The sequence below is a fragment of the Homo sapiens genome, chromosome 6, assembly GCF_000001405.40.
Source record: "Homo sapiens chromosome 6, GRCh38.p14 Primary Assembly".
NCBI classification, from domain to species: Eukaryota; Metazoa; Chordata; class Mammalia; order Primates; family Hominidae; genus Homo; species Homo sapiens.
The window spans coordinates 148,449,320-148,465,812 of NC_000006.12; the positions used below are offsets into that span (position 1 = coordinate 148,449,320).

General features: G+C 45.0%; 1 protein-coding gene across 13 annotated transcripts in view, besides 2 other annotated features; it reads left to right on the forward strand.

Annotated features, from left to right (window-relative positions):
- SASH1 (SAM and SH3 domain containing 1) overlaps window positions 1–16,493 on the forward strand; it is a 358,577-nt gene that overhangs the window by 255,852 nt on the left and 86,232 nt on the right. Inside the window, exon 1 of one of the 13 annotated variants that reach the window (XM_047418498.1) lies at window positions 395–10,365. The exons of the other annotated variants lie outside the window; for them this stretch is intronic. The gene's annotated coding sequence lies outside the window, so the exon portion shown is untranslated. Of the gene's footprint in view, window positions 1–394; window positions 10,366–16,493 lie in introns of those variants that run through there. 13 annotated transcript variants of the gene reach the window in all.
- Window positions 3,217–3,753: an enhancer, noted in NCBI's record as "H3K4me1 hESC enhancer chr6:148773672-148774208 (GRCh37/hg19 assembly coordinates)". NCBI's record gives its function as "activates a minimal SCP1, AML or CMV promoter by ChIP-STARR-seq in naive H9 embryonic stem cells {active_cell/tissue: H9 hESC(naive)}" and the evidence as "EXISTENCE:reporter gene assay evidence [ECO:0000049][PMID:30033119]".
- Window positions 4,794–5,293: an enhancer, noted in NCBI's record as "H3K4me1 hESC enhancer chr6:148775249-148775748 (GRCh37/hg19 assembly coordinates)". NCBI's record gives its function as "activates a minimal SCP1, AML or CMV promoter by ChIP-STARR-seq in primed H9 embryonic stem cells {active_cell/tissue: H9 hESC(primed)}" and the evidence as "EXISTENCE:reporter gene assay evidence [ECO:0000049][PMID:30033119]".

Sequence of the window (16,493 nt, forward strand, 5' to 3'; positions counted from 1 at the left end):
TCAGCCCCCCGAAGTGCTAGGATTACAGGTGTGAGTCACCGTACCTGGCTGAGACTGGCTAATTTCTTTCTTTTTTTTTTTTTCTGAGACGTAGTTTCGCTCTTGTTGCCCAGGCTGGAGTGCAATGGTGCAATCTCGGCTCACTGCAACCTCCACCCATTGGGTTTAAGTGATTCTCCTGCCTCAGCCTCCCGAGTAGCTGGGATTACAGGCATGCACCACCATGCCCGGCTAATTTTGTATTTTTAGCAGAGACAGGGTTTCTCCATGTTGGTCAGCCTGGTCTCGAACTCCCGACCTCAGGTGATCCACCCGCCTTGGCCTCCCAAAGTGCTGGGATTACAGGTGTGAGCCACTGCGCCCAGTCGGAGACTGGCTAATTTCTAAAGAAAAATGTTTATTTAGCTCAGGGTTCTGCAGCCTGGGAAGTTCAAGAGCATGGCCCTGGCTTCCGGGGAGGGCCGTCCTGTGGGGTGATAACATGGTGAAAAAGGCCAAAGAGGAAGTGAATATGTGTGAAGAGCCAGGACCAAACAAGAGAGTAACCTCACTTTATAACAGCCCACTCTCTCAGGAACTGATCCATTTCCATGGAAATTAATCCAGGCCCTCAAGAGGGAGAACTCACTCACTACCACAAGCATGGCAGCAAACCATTCGTGAGGGATCTGCTCCCGTGACCCAACACCTCCTGCTAGGCCCCACCTCCCAACATCACCACACTGGAAATCAAATTTCATCATGAGTTTCAGTGGGGACAGAAAGACCATACCCAAACTATAGCACTCTCTGTTTATTTTTAATCTTTATTGTTCCAAGTGAGACCCTTAATGCTCTTTCCGTGAACTAAAGAGCATTCAAGAAATTGCTTTTGGATTTATCTCCCGAAAATACACTCAGGCCACATCTCATTGAGGGGATGCTCAGCTCTCCCCAGTGACATCTATAAATTAGGACCTGTCTAGGTTTTCACCTTGGTAATCAGTGGCCCCTACATATATCCCTAGCCCTTCTTTATTGCTCAGTCTCCCCAGCAATAACCTCATACCTCCATATAACCCCAATTCCAGCCCAACTGGATATTACGATTACCCAAATGCCCCCTTGGCTGTCTGAATTTCATGCATTGGAAGCATTTCCTTCCTTCAAGTCCTATTTGAAGGACTGCTTCTCACTGAGTACTTTCTCAGTCTCTTAACTGTCTGTATCCTCTCCTCTCCTTGGACTCTAGTAGCATTTTCCATGGATCTGATGTCTCTTAATGTACTTTAACACGTATCATATCATCATTGTTGTTAACATCATCATAACGTGGCTTCTCGGGTGATGTCTATGTACTGGGTACTGTGTGAATCTCTTATTATATGTTATCTTTTTTTTTTTTTTGTATAAACTCATTGAGGTATATATTATATTTGAGACTCATTAGCTTGCCTAAATTTCCAGAGCTAGAGGCAAACATCTCAATCCATTCTGAGTGTCATTATAGCCTTGGAATTAAGATGCCCTACCTGATACCAGACTCTCTGGGTTCAAATCCAGGTTGTCTTCCTTACCAGCTCTGTAACTCTTGGGCAAGCCACTTGACCTTTCTATCTGTAGTTTCCACAATTATCAAATGAAGATGATCATTATAGTGCTTACCTCACTTAGCCATCAAGAGCATAGTAAGTGCTTGATAATCTTGTCTGTTATCTATCTTGTCTGGCCCACATTCATGCCTTTGCCTGTGGCTTGAGCCACTTGTATACTTCCCTAATCCCAGAAGAACCAACATAGTCATGAGCCCTGAGGCTGAGAGCTCACTCTTCTGATTTTCTTCAGTGTCCAGAATAATGGTTTGCACAGAGCAAGTGCTCATTTAGTACTTGCATTGAATTCACTGAATGCCCCTAGTTATTTGAAATAGGGCTACAAATGGATTGTTCCCAGGACTGGAATTTCAGAGAAGCTACCTTGGGCTTACTCGTGACCCAACATGTGTCAGTGTCTCCCCAGACTGACGGTGTGAATAAAAAGTGCTTTCGGCTTGTAAATATCAACATTATAAAGACACCTCTAAATAAACATTTGACATAGTAGCTTCCATAAATTGCCAAATCTTTTTCTAAGGGTTGCCCCCCTTTTCTTACCGGATTCTATTTCATAGTCTGGTTCAAGTCTCCCTAGATTTTCCTCTTCTAAAATAGAAACAACTGCTGAGCACGGTGAGATGCGCCTGTAGTCCTAGCTACTCGGGAGGCTGAGGCAGGAAGATTGCTTGAGCTCAGGAGTTTGGGACTAGCCTGGGCAACACAGCAAGACCCAGTCTCTTAAAAGAAAGAAAGGAAGAAAGAAACAACAGACGACATAATACCTTCAGATGAAGGTACAATACCAAGAAACTCATACGTAATATTGTGATTTAGAAAATCATGCTGTGGAATTATCAGTCCGCCTTTGGAAGTAGACCAGATTCAGTGAAAAGGGCTGATGAGGTCTGTGAGTTTGCTAGGAAATCCAGGTCAAGCCACGTCCCCTGGTGCTGACATGAATGCATCCTGTCTCCACATCCTGTTTGTGGCGGGGCTGTGGTGTAGGGTGGAGACACCCATGTTTTCCCCCAGGGAGCATGTGTGTGTGCCCTGCGCCTGGGGCCTGTGTGTATGGGAGTGAGGATGTCACACAGAGGCATGCCCTTCAGAGTGGGTCACAGGGCGCTTCTGCCCCACGGAGGTGGATGTGTCCTTCTGTGCCCAGCATCTTCTCGGTCCCCATGAGCTGTTAGAGCATCCCTAAGATAACCAAAGGCAACTGGAGCCATCATTATTTGTTTTTTCAGGCACACTAGGGTGGGAAGCATAGGCAAAATGGCAAACTTAATTTTCAGAAAATAAATGGACTGGCCCAAGAGCCAGGTGTTGTTATGATATTAGGTACTCTTCTGCCTTAATCAGTAGAGGCTGAGGGCATGAGGGCCAGGTCACTGGCCAGGAGGCTCGTCCATCTGTGACTTGTCCTCTTTGCCACTTCATCTTCTGGGCTTCAGCTCCCTCGTGGGCATGGTGAGGAGTGTGAGTCAGGTGGTCTCCAGGGTCCTTCTAGCTCAGGCCATCTTTTGTTTTCTGCTCCAGTCTAAAGCATGCCCTGCACCGATCAATTTAGCTTGGACTCTGCATATCCCACTATGTTGTAGCTGGCCTAGGCTCTGGAGCTGGACAGAATCTGAGCGTGAGTTTACGCTCCGCTAGTTGTGGGACTGGGAACAAGTTATTCGAATTCTTTACGCCTCAGGTTTCTATTCAATAAAGCATGCACAAAAACAGCTCTTTTCAAGGGTGGTGCTGTGAAATGCCCAGCACACTGCCTGGCACGCGATAGGTGCTCACATTCTGCTGTTCCCTCCCCTCACCCCCTCTGTAATGTGCAGTGCTGCCCCTGGTGAGGGCAGTGAGTCTGTGGTGTCTCTTCTCAGGCTCATTAGACGGTGCCATACACACAGAGCTTATCACTGGCCATGGTCCCCTAAAATATGCCCTTCCCACATGACCTTTCGTTTCTTTTGTGATGCCTGCAATGGGGGCGACTAGGAAACAACAGCTATTTTCATAGAGCCTGTGCAGTAGCAATGCGCTGAAGCGTGCGTTTGTGCAGGCATAACTGCGTCCACACGTGTGTGTGCACGCGTGCACCATTGCACAGCATATTTGAAGGGCTCAGCATTCCAGAATGCAGGAGCTTGGGGTAGGAGCAGCTGGTCCACAATCCTCCTCCTCAGCTGTTCCCAACTGGAAACTCCGTTGCCCTTCCCTCTGTCTGGCGAGTGAGCCACCAGCCGACCCGGACACAGCTTGAGTCCGCACGTCTGCCCTGTGTCCTTTGCCGGTGGCAGGCTGTGTGTGTTCTTGCTGGGATGGCTGGGGACAGGTGCTGCTGCCAGGAATTGTTTAATGTACGGAGGTGGCTGCTGTTTATTCTCTCTCCTGCATAAGAAGAAACAGAATATTAGGCCAAGGATGGGGTGATGGTGGGAGGCTATCAGTAAATAAATATCATTCCTATACTTGCAGGAAGATGTGGAGACTCAACACCTACAGCTTAGTGCGTGCTCCCTGCATGTCTTATTAATTCTCCTACCAAATCTATAATGCAGATGGTATTCTACAGTTAAGGAAACCAAGGTTTAGAAAGGTCAGTGACTTAGCAAGATCACAGACCTTGGGTAAGGCAGAGCTGGATTCTGAATCCAGCTCTGTTTATCTGCAAGGGGCAGACTGCTTCTCATCCACCCAACTACAGGTACAATCAAAGACTGGGGTGCTCGGAGAGACCAGTGATGGGCCAGGCAGCTCAGGAAGTTTAATTTGATAAGCATTTATCCAGCAGTAAGCCCTGGAAAGATGAGTAAGATAGGTAGGGTAGCTGTCCTCTTACAATCTGAAGACATGGAAAGATGCTTATAATGCAATGCGAAAACCATCAGGACAGGGGAACTGCAGAAGGAGGTATGGTGAACCCCGCTTGGGGGATAGGCATGGTGCTGAGGGCCCTGTATTTTGGCATCAGTCAGGGTTCTATTTGAGAAGTAGAATGTTAAGATAGAATAAGGACTTGGTTATATGCTTTTGACCTCATGCATCACAGCCCGTGCTGGCTGCACAGGCCAGGTGAGGCTGTTCCTTCTGTGTCAGGTGGTACAGCCTGAAGTCAGCAGGGCAGGCAGTTCAGCAAAAACAATGCCTGCAAAGTGAAGAGAGCAAGGACAAAGTCCACCCTGCCAGGGTGGGCTGACACCCATGCCATCAGTCACCGTCTCCAAGCGAGGCTTCAGCTTCGCGGGTGCAGAGGGCCTGCAGGAGTTGTTGACGTCCTTCCTCAGGAGCTCCACACATCACAGGCCCAGGACTGAGGAGCTGAGGAGGAGACCCAGCAGGAATGTGAGCGCTGTGGGCCCAGCTGCTGCCCCATGCCAGCCCCTGACCCAGAGGACCAACAATAACAGCTATAGCAGGGCCCCATGCCCACACTGACGGTGAAGCACGGAAAAAAAAGAGCTACTTTCTGCATTTCATGTAAAATCTCTCTTGTGGTCCAGGCTAACCTGGAACTATGCAAGGAAGAGAATTCGGAGAAATGTAATCCGGCTGTTCTAAATTGTCAAGACTCCAAATCGTCACAGGTTCCCATAGGAGTGAGAACCTGAGGGCTGACTGGGGGTTCTCTTAGGCAAAAGCAGAGAGGAAGGAAGTTCCTGGTGGAAGAAAGGGTGTGCGAAACCATAGGAGCACAGCATCTTGGGGGAATGGGTGGTGGAGCCCCAGGCCTAGCTGGTGGAAGGCTTTCAGAGCCAGCTCAGGCATTTCCTGGTGATGGGCTTTGTATTTTAGACGGGCCACTGTCAGCGTGAGGAGGTGGGCTGTGTGCATCACAGGAGGCAGGGAGAACTGTGAAGAGAGGGAGAGATCTGGAAGGTCTAAAGGCCTTGTCAAGCCTTTCTTTATTTTGCTTCCACTTTCTAAATTCTTTTATCCACCGGCTGATTCATTACTTCGTTGAATCTTTAGGGAGTGTCTCCTTCATGTCAGGAATGCTTGGTGGTCAAGACAACGCAGTCCCCAACCTCTCATCTAAAAGCTTTGCCCAAATAAAACCTTACAAGTCAGGATAATGCTTGAAAAGTATTTGCCACTTGTTTTATCGTATTACTCTGTATTCTTTTCTGAACACCTCACTTGCAGTATTGCTTATTTTATTTTGGAGGTGTTGGATACAAGGAGGGAATGGAGAATGAAGATGGGCCCTGTGATCCCTGGCCTCTCCTAGGCCAAGCCAGTGGTTGCAAGCATATCTGCACATCACAATTACTTGGAGAGCTTGTTGGAGAGACAGATCCTCAGGCCTTGCCCAGACCTAATGCATTCAATATCCAGATGTGGAACCCTGGAGGCTTCTAAGAAGTTTCCCAGGAGACTCTTAAGCAGCCAGCTTGGCTTTATTCATCGCCACCCAGATCAGTGTCTTGTCAGCTTTAAGCTCTTGGCTTCTACTCTGCATCGTAAGCACAGGTCGAGTTGGGGGCTGTTCAGCTGATGTGGGTAGAGGTCATTTCATCGTCACGGTGACCTTGGAAAGCTTCCCGGTGTCTGAATCATTTCCAGCAGGTGCTGGTGCGCTCACAACATCAGAAGGGGAAGGACGTGAAGTCATCTGAGGGCAGGGTGAAATCAGCGAGTGGAGTGATTAAGAATGGGAGGACAGGGTCCACTTGGAGTGAGTCTAGGTGTGGAGGGCGCATGGAAGTGACAGAGATGCTTGGGAATTTAAAAATGAGATCTGAGAAGACAGGAAAACTTGAGTTTCCATTTTCATAGTATTTATAACATATACAAATTTTCCATTAGCCATGTCTGTGAATGAATTAGAAGTGGGGCAGGGGAAGGCTGAAGTGGTTGCTGCTGGCTGGACGCAGATTCAGGGCTGCCGCGTGTCCATGCTGCCCGTTGGGAGAAGTAGGGCAGGTGGGCGGCTCCCACAGCCATGGTCTGGAGGGGTTGTTGGTCACTGTGCTGTGGCAGCGAGAGGAAGGGCCCTCCATGCCCGCAGTGCCTCCAGCCTTGGCCTTCAGTGCTGCTTCCCCTGGACTCCCCTGCTGCCCCCAGGGCAGCTGGCAGAAGAAAAGCGGCAGCCCCAGGCCCCACATCCCTCCAGGGTCCTCTGTGTCCAGGCTGCACAACGGCCTGCGTGGCCAGCAGGCCTCGGGGATGGTGAATGGGAGCCACTGTTTGTTTCCACTGAGAAAGTCCTGACCTGCTTCCGGAGCCATTGCCATGGAAACGCAAGGAGGAGGTTCTTGAATGGAGCCTCTTTCCTCCCCATCTGCCCTACTCCCTTCCCCACCCCAGGCCGAGGCTGGTAAGGGCCAGCCCCCTGCTGCCTCACTTTCCCCCTAGGTTCTTGCACATTTGGTAAAAATACTCAAAGCTGGGGGCCCTCCCTGCCCGTCTCTATAGGGATCAGTGACCCCATCTCCATACCGCCCGAGCGTGTGGCAGCCCATTCTCACAGCAGCTCTTAACCTGGGCCTGCCTCACGCAAACAGAGGGCCAGAGAGGGCCTTCCAGAGGAGCCCCTGCCAGCCTCAGCCACATTTCCCCATAGAAAAGCCTCTCTTGGACCCCATATTTATTACACATATGCAGGAAATTTTAATAAAGGAAATAGAGCAAACGAATAATTTTGCCCCATTTACAAAATACTTGGGAGCCATTTAGTAATGTAAATAGCAGGCGCAGTGGCTCATGCCTGTAATCCAAGGACTTTGGGAGGCAGAGGCTGGTGGATTGCTTGAGCCCAGGAGTTCGAGACCAGCCTGGGCAACATGGCGAAATCCTGTCTCTACAAAAACAAACAAAAATTAGCTGGACATGGTGGTGCGCGCCTGTAGTCCCAGCTATTTGGGGGCTGAGGAGGTGGGAGGATCACCTGAGCCTGGGGAGGTTGTGGCTGCAGTGAGCTATAATCACATCACTTCATTCCAGCCTGGCCAACAGAGTGAGACCCAGAGTGTCTCATAACAATAATAATAATAATAATAATAATAATATAATGTAAACAAAGGTACTTTCTTTTTAGTAGGCTGCTTAAGCTCATAAGAAATTTTTGCTCATTTTTATAATAACTAGTTTTTGTGGTGAAAACAATGTGCTACAGCCCTGTTTTATTTTATTTTGCTTTTGATAATAATTTAGTAATTCCTTAAGACAAAAAAAAAAAAAACCTAAGTAAAATTTAAAATTCACAGTGAGGCCATAAAATGAAGGCATTTGTTTTTACTGGTTAGATCAAAACCAGAATAAAAAGCAGAATTTCAAGGCCCCCTCCCCCGCCCCTTTTTTTTACACCTTAATTTTTATGCCTACTGAAGAATCATCAAAAGTCAGAATTTGACCTGAAGCCGCAGACTCCAGGGGCAGCATTACAAACTTAAATTGCACTTTCAGTACCGGTAATTAGAGACAATGTGGTTTTGGCTTTCGGCTCACAGTATTGCACCAGGTACTGTGAATACTGTGATCAGTAAGACTAGTGAACCCCTTGACTCCATGAAGCTCAAGTTTTAGTGGGAAAAACATTGGTTTGGGTGTCGGAAGAGCTGAGTTTAATCTCCAGCTCTGTGACTTACAGTGACTAATTGCGTGACCTTGGACAAGTCACTTATATAAAGACTCTAGGCCAGAATCTCTTCATACATACAGCAAGGCTAGTTTTTTTGAGTGTTTTTGTGAGACTGAAATACGATGAGATTTATGAATCTACTTTGGTAAGCCAGACCAATGCTTTGTGGAAGTTAGTCATTTTCGTTTCTTCGCCACTAACTGTGTATTCATCCATCCTCACGCTACTAACAAAGACATACCCAAGACTGAGTAATTTATAAAGGAAAGAGGTTTAATTGACTCACAGTTCAACAGGGCTGGGGAGACCTCAGGAAACTTGCAATCATGGTAGAAGAGGAAACAAACACATCCTTCTTCACATGATGACAAGAAGGAGAAGAATGTGTGCCAGCAAAGGGGGAAGCCCTTATAAAACCATCAGCTCTCATGAGAACTCACTCACTATCGCGAGAACAGCATGAGGGTAACCGCCCCCATGATTAAATCACCTCCAACCAGGTCTCACCCCTGTTGGCGACACAGAGCCAAATGATATCAAACTGTTATGATTATATTCACCTGCATGTAACTGACATGTGACTTCAGTGTTTAGACAATGGGGACATCTTCTCATATAGCAGGTAGTCTGGAGTTGGGCTTTCCAAGGCTTGAGCAGCTGCTCAGGGAATTATTCCCTCTCCTACTCTACCATCCTTAGTATGGAACTTTCTTCCTTATGATAAAATGATGCCTGTTCCAGGAGGGATAATGGGAAGAGCCGGGCAAAAGGCATGTAGATGGAGTAAATCCTTTTTGTCATAGAAACACTAGCTTTCTTAGAAACATCTCACGATAAAGTTCTAGTATTTCTTCTCTGCCAGACACTGACACTTGGCCTCAACTAACTTCAAGGGAGTCTGGGGAAGTGAGTTTTTAACAAGGTGTACTGCTACCCCAAACAAACTCGGGACTCTGTAAGTAAGAAAGAAAATGAACTGGATATTGACATGGGAGGCAACTAGCTTGACTATTTTTATGTTACAGTAAGATCTTCTTGAGTTTTGTAAACTCCTGGAAGGTATGCGCCATGTCGTGTGCAGTTTACTCATCCAGTGGCATAGAGCTTTATTATCTATACCAAGCAAACAATAAATCATTGATTGTATATGAAACTGGTCAGTTGCTGATTCCTTTTTATATGACCTCTCATTATAAAAAATACTATGTGGGCTGAGGCATGGGGGCTCACACCTGTAATCCCAGCACTTAGGGAGGCCAAGGTGGGAGAATTGCTTGAGGCCAGGACAAGACCAGCCTGGGCTACATAATGAGATGTCTGTACAAAAAACAAAAAATCAAAAGATTAGTCGGGCATGATGGCATGCGACTCGAGTCCCAGCTACGTGGAAGGCCAAAGCAGGAAGATTGCTCGACTCCAAGAGGTAGAGGCTGCAGTGAGCCATGATTGTGCCACTGTATTCTAGCCTGGGTGATAGAGCAAGAACCTGTCTCAAAAAAAAAAAAAGTATACACACACACACACACACACACACACACACACACACACACCCTCTAGCATATGTCACGGGGATATTCTGAACATTAGTTATTAACTTTGAAGGAATTGAGAAGGCATTTATAACTTCACAGTGCTGGAATAGGTGCTGTTACTGTCAATAGTGTTGTTAGTATCAAAGCTGGCATTCATGGAGCAATTTTATCTCAACTTCTTATGCAGTTCAGACCCATGAAGCCACAAATGAAGAAAAATATGGCCCAGATGGAAAAGAGAAGACCCACTGAGGGGTTTTTGGAAACCTCAGAGGATGACTGAATCCCATCCCAGATCTGATTCTCCCTCCTTCAAGCCCACATCGCTCCTGCACTTGGATAGTCCTGGCCTTAGTGAGGCCGTGGCCCAGACACAACCAGACCATGGGCCTCCCCTGTGGAGAGATGGCATTTGGCTGCTTTTCAGATGTGAAACTCTTTAAGTTTCTGCCAGTGACCCACATCATTAACTTTCGGTACAAGTCACCAGTTGGTGAATGAAAGGACACAAATCTCTTTCACTGCACCTTTGTAGGGATTTTTAGAGTCAACAGGAGTGGGATCTGTCCTTGGCCTGGAAAGCCTTTTGGCCATTCCCGAGGTGCCAGAGAACCAGCCCCTTACAAGTTAAGAAATGGAAGTATATTTGAAGAAGGACTGAGGATGACTTGGTTCATAGGTAGGGTGGTTGAAAAAAAAGGCCGCTAATAATAGCTAGCTTATTTTATTTAATTTTTTTAGTGCTTAGCATGTGCAGGCATGTAGTAAGTAAAGTAAAAGTCACAACAGAAAACTCTAAAAATTCTATGTGATCGGTAACATTTTGTCTCTGTTTTGCATAGCAGGAAACTGGGAATCAGTGGGACTAAGTAATGTGCCCAGAGTCAGTAGCAGGTAGAGCTTGGCTTTGAATACTGGCACTTGGACTCCTGAACCCACATTCTGAGCCATTCATTGTGTGGTGCCACTTCCTGGGTAGTGGCCTTATGACAGCATTTGAGACATCCTTCACATGGAGGTACCAGTCAGCTGCTCATGATCTCTACCACAGACAGAACAAAAGGAGGCAGGCTTGATTTGCAGCAGGAAAGATAATGTTTAGTTACCTACAACCTCCATATGTCTAATGCAATTAGCAGGGGATTGAAGGATAACAAAGGTGATTGTCAATAGAACTAACCCTGCATGTCTAAATTAGCTGCATCTTTCTCCTTATTTTTCTGAGCAAGATGCCCTTTTGAGACATCTTATATAGAAGGAATAGGCTGACTTAAAGTGGTTCTGATGGCAGTTGTAAATCAAAGATATACAAAGAGGGTGGGGTAGAAAAATTAAACATTCTACAACTCACAGTTGGAGAATTTAGATCTTTCAGTGTCCATCTAGCACCTCCAAGTGTGAGAATTTGGATTATGGGGCAAAAAGTCCTCTTTGAACCAGAATTAAAGATTAGATGGTATTACTGTTTAGAGTCAACGTCCACACTTCATACCTGAAAATCCTGCCATTTCTTTCGGAGAGTTAATGTTTTGGAGAGTTAATGATAATTGAGGTAATCGACGGACTCAAGCCATTTCCCTTGATGTAAGTGCCTATATTGAAAAGCTATGCAACATCAATGACAAATTATTTAGTAGACAGTGTGCCATACACAATAAGCTAAATACTGCTTAAGGAAGACAATAGGATATAATAACATGAGAATAATGGAAATAATATGCTGAAAATCCATTGGATAAAGAGATTTTGATGTCATGCTTAATCATTATGTGTGTTGTTTTTTGTAATTCTAAAAAACATACAAATTGCTTTTATAAAGTGGCAAGTAGAAGAGAAATCCTTGTGTCCATCTCAATTATTTGAGAGAGGTTAATGATAAAATAATTTACAAGGAGGAACCTTAGTGATTTGGAAACTTAGATTCTAGAATAGGAGATACCTCATGGCAATACTTGGTGGAATGGGAACAGCGAGTCTGCTGGAGAAGACTAAGTTCGTCAGTTTGGGACTGCTCTGTGAATAGTTACAAGAAGTAACATTTCCTTGGAGCTTCCCCAGTGCCAGACACTGCGCAAAGCTCTTAACATTCACTGTCTCATGTGATCCTCTTAACAGTCCATTAAGGGGTACTGTTTTTATCATCACAACTGCACTTAGAAAGACAGTCAAGGCTTAGATTGGTGGCAGCGCTGTCATTTACCCCTAGTTCTGCCTGACTCCTGAATGTGTGTGCTGGGTCAGGCCATTGTCTTGGTTTTGGTATTGCAGACACCTGCCTTGTTCATTTATAAAGGTGACCCTGTAACAAAAAGCCAGCAAGTTCAGGCTGGGAATAGACTGTGAAATGAAAGAAAAAACCTGTATGGGGATTGTTTTGACCGGCTTGACAAAATGTCACCCATGTTGTCATTGATATTGATTATTCCTGGAGTTCTAACAGTATGCCAGATTTTGGCAATAGAATTGCTTTTCTGTCTCAGCCAGTGAATTCACAAGCTAAATCATGGGGCCAAGCAAGAGAGGTGCATAGGGCATGGAATTTAAGGAGGCAACTCACTCCCTGCACCTGCCGGATTCTGAGAGAATCTTACACCAAATCAACACCAAATCTGTAAGAGGTGACCTCTTACAACTTGGGCTATCTGTGTCTCTCTGGCATCATCCAAGTCCTGGCCCTGTGGCTGGAGAAAGGGTGACTCTTGAGTTTTTATGGCAACTAGTGGATAGTATGAATTGAATTTTGTTTCATATCTATTTCTCTTAAACAGAGGAGATAGGTTTGTGTGATAAAAGTATCTTTGATACCCAAAGGATAGAAAGAAATATTAAATTGAGGAATTACTTCTTTAACATGTAATGATTTGTCATGAAAGGAGCAAAATATGAAGGTACAGTTATCCATACTTAAGTAGGACATAAAGAAAATGAAAATCTTAACTACTTCTTAATGTAAGCCCTTCAACCTTTTAACCTTCCCCTGCCTCCCCCTGTACATGCACAATTCAGTAGCACAGATGTGTCAGGCTTTTTTTTTTAAATGGTGGAGAAAAGGCTGCTACTGGCTTTCGGGACTGCCTTGGCAGGCCTGGGATGATGCAGGAAAAGACCCAGACACAGCAAAAGACCAGATTTCAAATTCAGCAGGAAATCAACTAATGGAGAAGTTGATTTCCTGAGACTCAAGATTAAGGAACTTTGAAAATCCCTTAAGTACAGGTTTTCCAGTAACATATAGCATATGTTCCTTTCTTGGAAATGAGGTTATAACCACTTTCCTTTCTTTTTCTTTTCTTTTCTTTTTTTTTTTTCTTGGTTATAATGAAGTTTCTGGACAGCTCATCAAAGCCAAAACATGAAGTGTATTTTAGGAATTTGTTTATGCTTGGCCATTCATTGCACTTTTCTGGTGTGCTGGACTCAGTATGTAGAAACGAGATAGAGTTGTCTTTGTCTGGATGTAGCTTAGACTATTTGTATATAAACAGAAGAAGAAAAATGAGTTTGAGCCATAGTATTTGGCTTCCTTTCCTTCTAGAAGCAGATAGGGGGGTCTTGCAATAGCCAGATAGTCAATTCCTGAAAAGTGTTCTTGGAATATTTAGTTCTGATACTTCCATAGACCATGGTGAGGTTTGGTGTTGAAAACTTTCTGTTTTTGCAGGTTCTTCTGAGTATCATTTTAGCAATTTACTCAAGAGCTGGGCCAGTATGTAATGGTATCCCCTTTCTGTCTATCCCTTAAATAATAGAAAAGAAGCATCCTGTTAAAGAATGTATACAATTTGGAATTCTGTTATACAAATGAGGAGGAGTCTGGGGAAGAGGGTGAGGTGTTGAACTCAGGAGTCAGAGACGTGGCCACCAAGCCCAGTTATGCCCTTGCCCAGCACGATTGGACCTCAGGCATGTCATCACTCCCATCTCAGTGACAGTCCTATTCTGTGATGGGGGGTAATGAGAGTATTGCATTTGAGAGGTGGAATTCTATACAAGTGTAAAGAATTTCATGTTGACCTGTGTTGTGTTCCTCCTCCTACTCTATGGTCTTACGAGGATCTCCACTGTAAAGCAGTAGACTCACTGGAAAAGAAAATATGGCAACCTAGAGTTTCCACTGTGTGGAGTGAGAGACTGCAATATAATTTTTTTTTTTTTTTAAGATGGAGTCTCACTTTGTCACCCAGGCTGGAGTGCAGTGGCGCAATCTCGGCTCACCGCAACCTCCACCTCCTGGGTTCAAGTGATTCTCCTGCCTCAGCCTCCTGAGTAGCTGCGATTACAGGTGCTCTCCACCACGCCTGGCTAATTATTGTATTTTTAGTAGACATGGGGTTTCACCATGTTGTCCAGGCTGGACTCGAACTCCTGACCTCAGGTGATCCACCCGTCTCGGCCTCAAAGTGCTGGGATTACAGGGTCAGACACTGCGCCCAGCTGCGATATAATTTTTGTAAAACGGAGTTTAATAATATTCTAACCAGAAAGGTAAAGGAGCACTCTGCCTTCTTTTCCTTCTCCCACTGGCTGCTCCTCCTAAGTCTCATTGCTGGGCCTCACTTTCTCTTTATGACCACTAAAAATCGGGTTGCCCTGGAGCTCAGTCTTCATAATGTTTCTCTTCGTAGTGTTCAGTCAGAGCTTAGAGTATGCAAGTCACTTACAAATTCTTATCTGCAGCTCTAGACTCACATGTCCAACTGTTTCTTTACTGTCTGCACAGGGATGTTTAATAAGCACCGCACACTTAGCATGTCCAAAGGGGACCTCTTGTTCCCTCCCCTGCTGTTCCCCTGCCCAGCTTTCCCCATCTGGGGAAGTGAATGTTATTTCATTATTTAGGTTTCTGCTCAGAGAAGCCTTCTCTGTCCCATCACCTCAACTTCTCCTCACTCCTTGACTCTGCAGTCGCCCTTCTTGAATCTGTCTTGTTTATTGCTATGTTCTCAGGACCTCAGAGGATGCCTGACTCCTACTGAGAGGTGAATAAATAAATACTGAATGAAAGAATGAGTGAAAATGAATACACAAAGCAATTTAACAAAGAATTTGTTAAAGACAGAGGTAGGAGGAAAGAAACCAGTTCTGGGGATACTGTCTCTTAAATTATTTTTATTTTTCAATGGGATTGATAAATTCCTTAATGTAGGAATTTTCTTAAGTGAATTTTGCCTTCAGGAACAGCTAAAGCAGTTTAGGGATCTTGAGGAAAAATGTTGACACTTAAGCAGATAGATTTGGGGTCTTAATAGTAGGAGTTATTGATGAACAAATATTTGCTAAGGTTCAGTTCTGAGACTTTAAATCCAATACTTGATGATAATTAAATGTTTAAATGGATTTTTAAAGCACAGCAGAATATTAATTATTGCTTCCTGGTCATCAAAATCCATGCTGAAGTTACCATACTTTTTACCCATTGACAATGAAAAAGATGAGTCCAAAGAGCAGATCCAGCTCCAGCGCCCACCATCCTCAGGCCTGGGGCTTCTGGCTGGAGGAAGGAGGTACTACTACCAGGAGGCCTCTTTGGAGCTGACGTCTGAGCATTAATTTCTTCCACCAGGAGATTAGTAAATGACCCCTTCCACCTGCTGCCATCCACTTTTGGACTTGGGTTATATCATTGATTTTTGCTCCTGCTGGATGAATTGTAATAATCATTCTCAAGGAGAAAGGAGATGGCATTTTGCACTGCTTCTATGCCAGCTTCTGTTTGCAGGGAGAAAGTCACTGCATCCAAATTCACACATTGAATTTGGATTCAACGTAAAATTCAAAGGATTGTAAATTTGATGAGTTGGGGAGCCTCACGCTTATGAAACATGGGCTTGTTATTCTTTGGCCAGCATCTAGGTGGTGAACTTGTGAAATTTTAAAAACAAAATCCCACTCACCACAGCAAGATGAATAAAGAAACTACAGTGCCATCTGCTGGCATCCTGGGGAAGTTCAAGCAATGCCTGGGCCAAGTCCAAACCGGAGGATAAAATTATTCAAAGTGTGTGGTAGTTTGAAGACAGTAGATTAAAAATAGTGAAAATATTGTCAGTCATCATTTCAGAGAGGAAAATGCAATCACATTTTGTGCTAATGGTGTAGCAGTGGGAGCGTACATTTTTCTGCAGTGTACTTTTTGAAGTATTTTGATGACTTTTAGGGAAAGTAAAAATTCACAATTTGTGTTTTCACTTATTACATAATAAGTTTTATCCTGAGGTGGGGATATTTGGTCCATAGCAGTTAGGTCAAGACTTCTCTAGTCCTGGCCGGTCACGGTGGCTCATGCCTGCAATCCCAGCACTTTGGGAGGCCGAGGCGGGCAAATCACCTGAGGTCAGGAGTTCAAGTCCAGCCTGGTCAACATGGTGAAACCCCGTGTCTACTAAAAATACAAAAATTAGCCAGGCATAGTGTCATATGCCTGTAGTCCCAGGAGGCTGAGGCAGGAGAATCGCATGAACCTGGGGGTGGAGGTTGCAGTGAGCCGAGATCGCATCACTGTACTCCAGCCTGGGCAGCAGAGTGAGACTCTGTCTCCAGGAGAAAAAAAAAAAAAAAAAAGACATCCCTAGTCCTTAGGGTGAGGACAAAAATACATATGGGGCTCCCTGTCCCTCTGGTGGCCCCTTACAGAAAACATGTTTAACCAGCTGCAGACCCCAGCCCGCTGAAGTAAGGTGGCAGCTGCACAGTCCCATGACTTGAAGTGCAAAGTACAGCACAGTAAGATTTTTTAAAAAAATTAAGAAGCTAAACTTAGCAGAAACCCTTCTTTCTTTCTGAAGGATTTCCTGCCTCAGTCCCCAG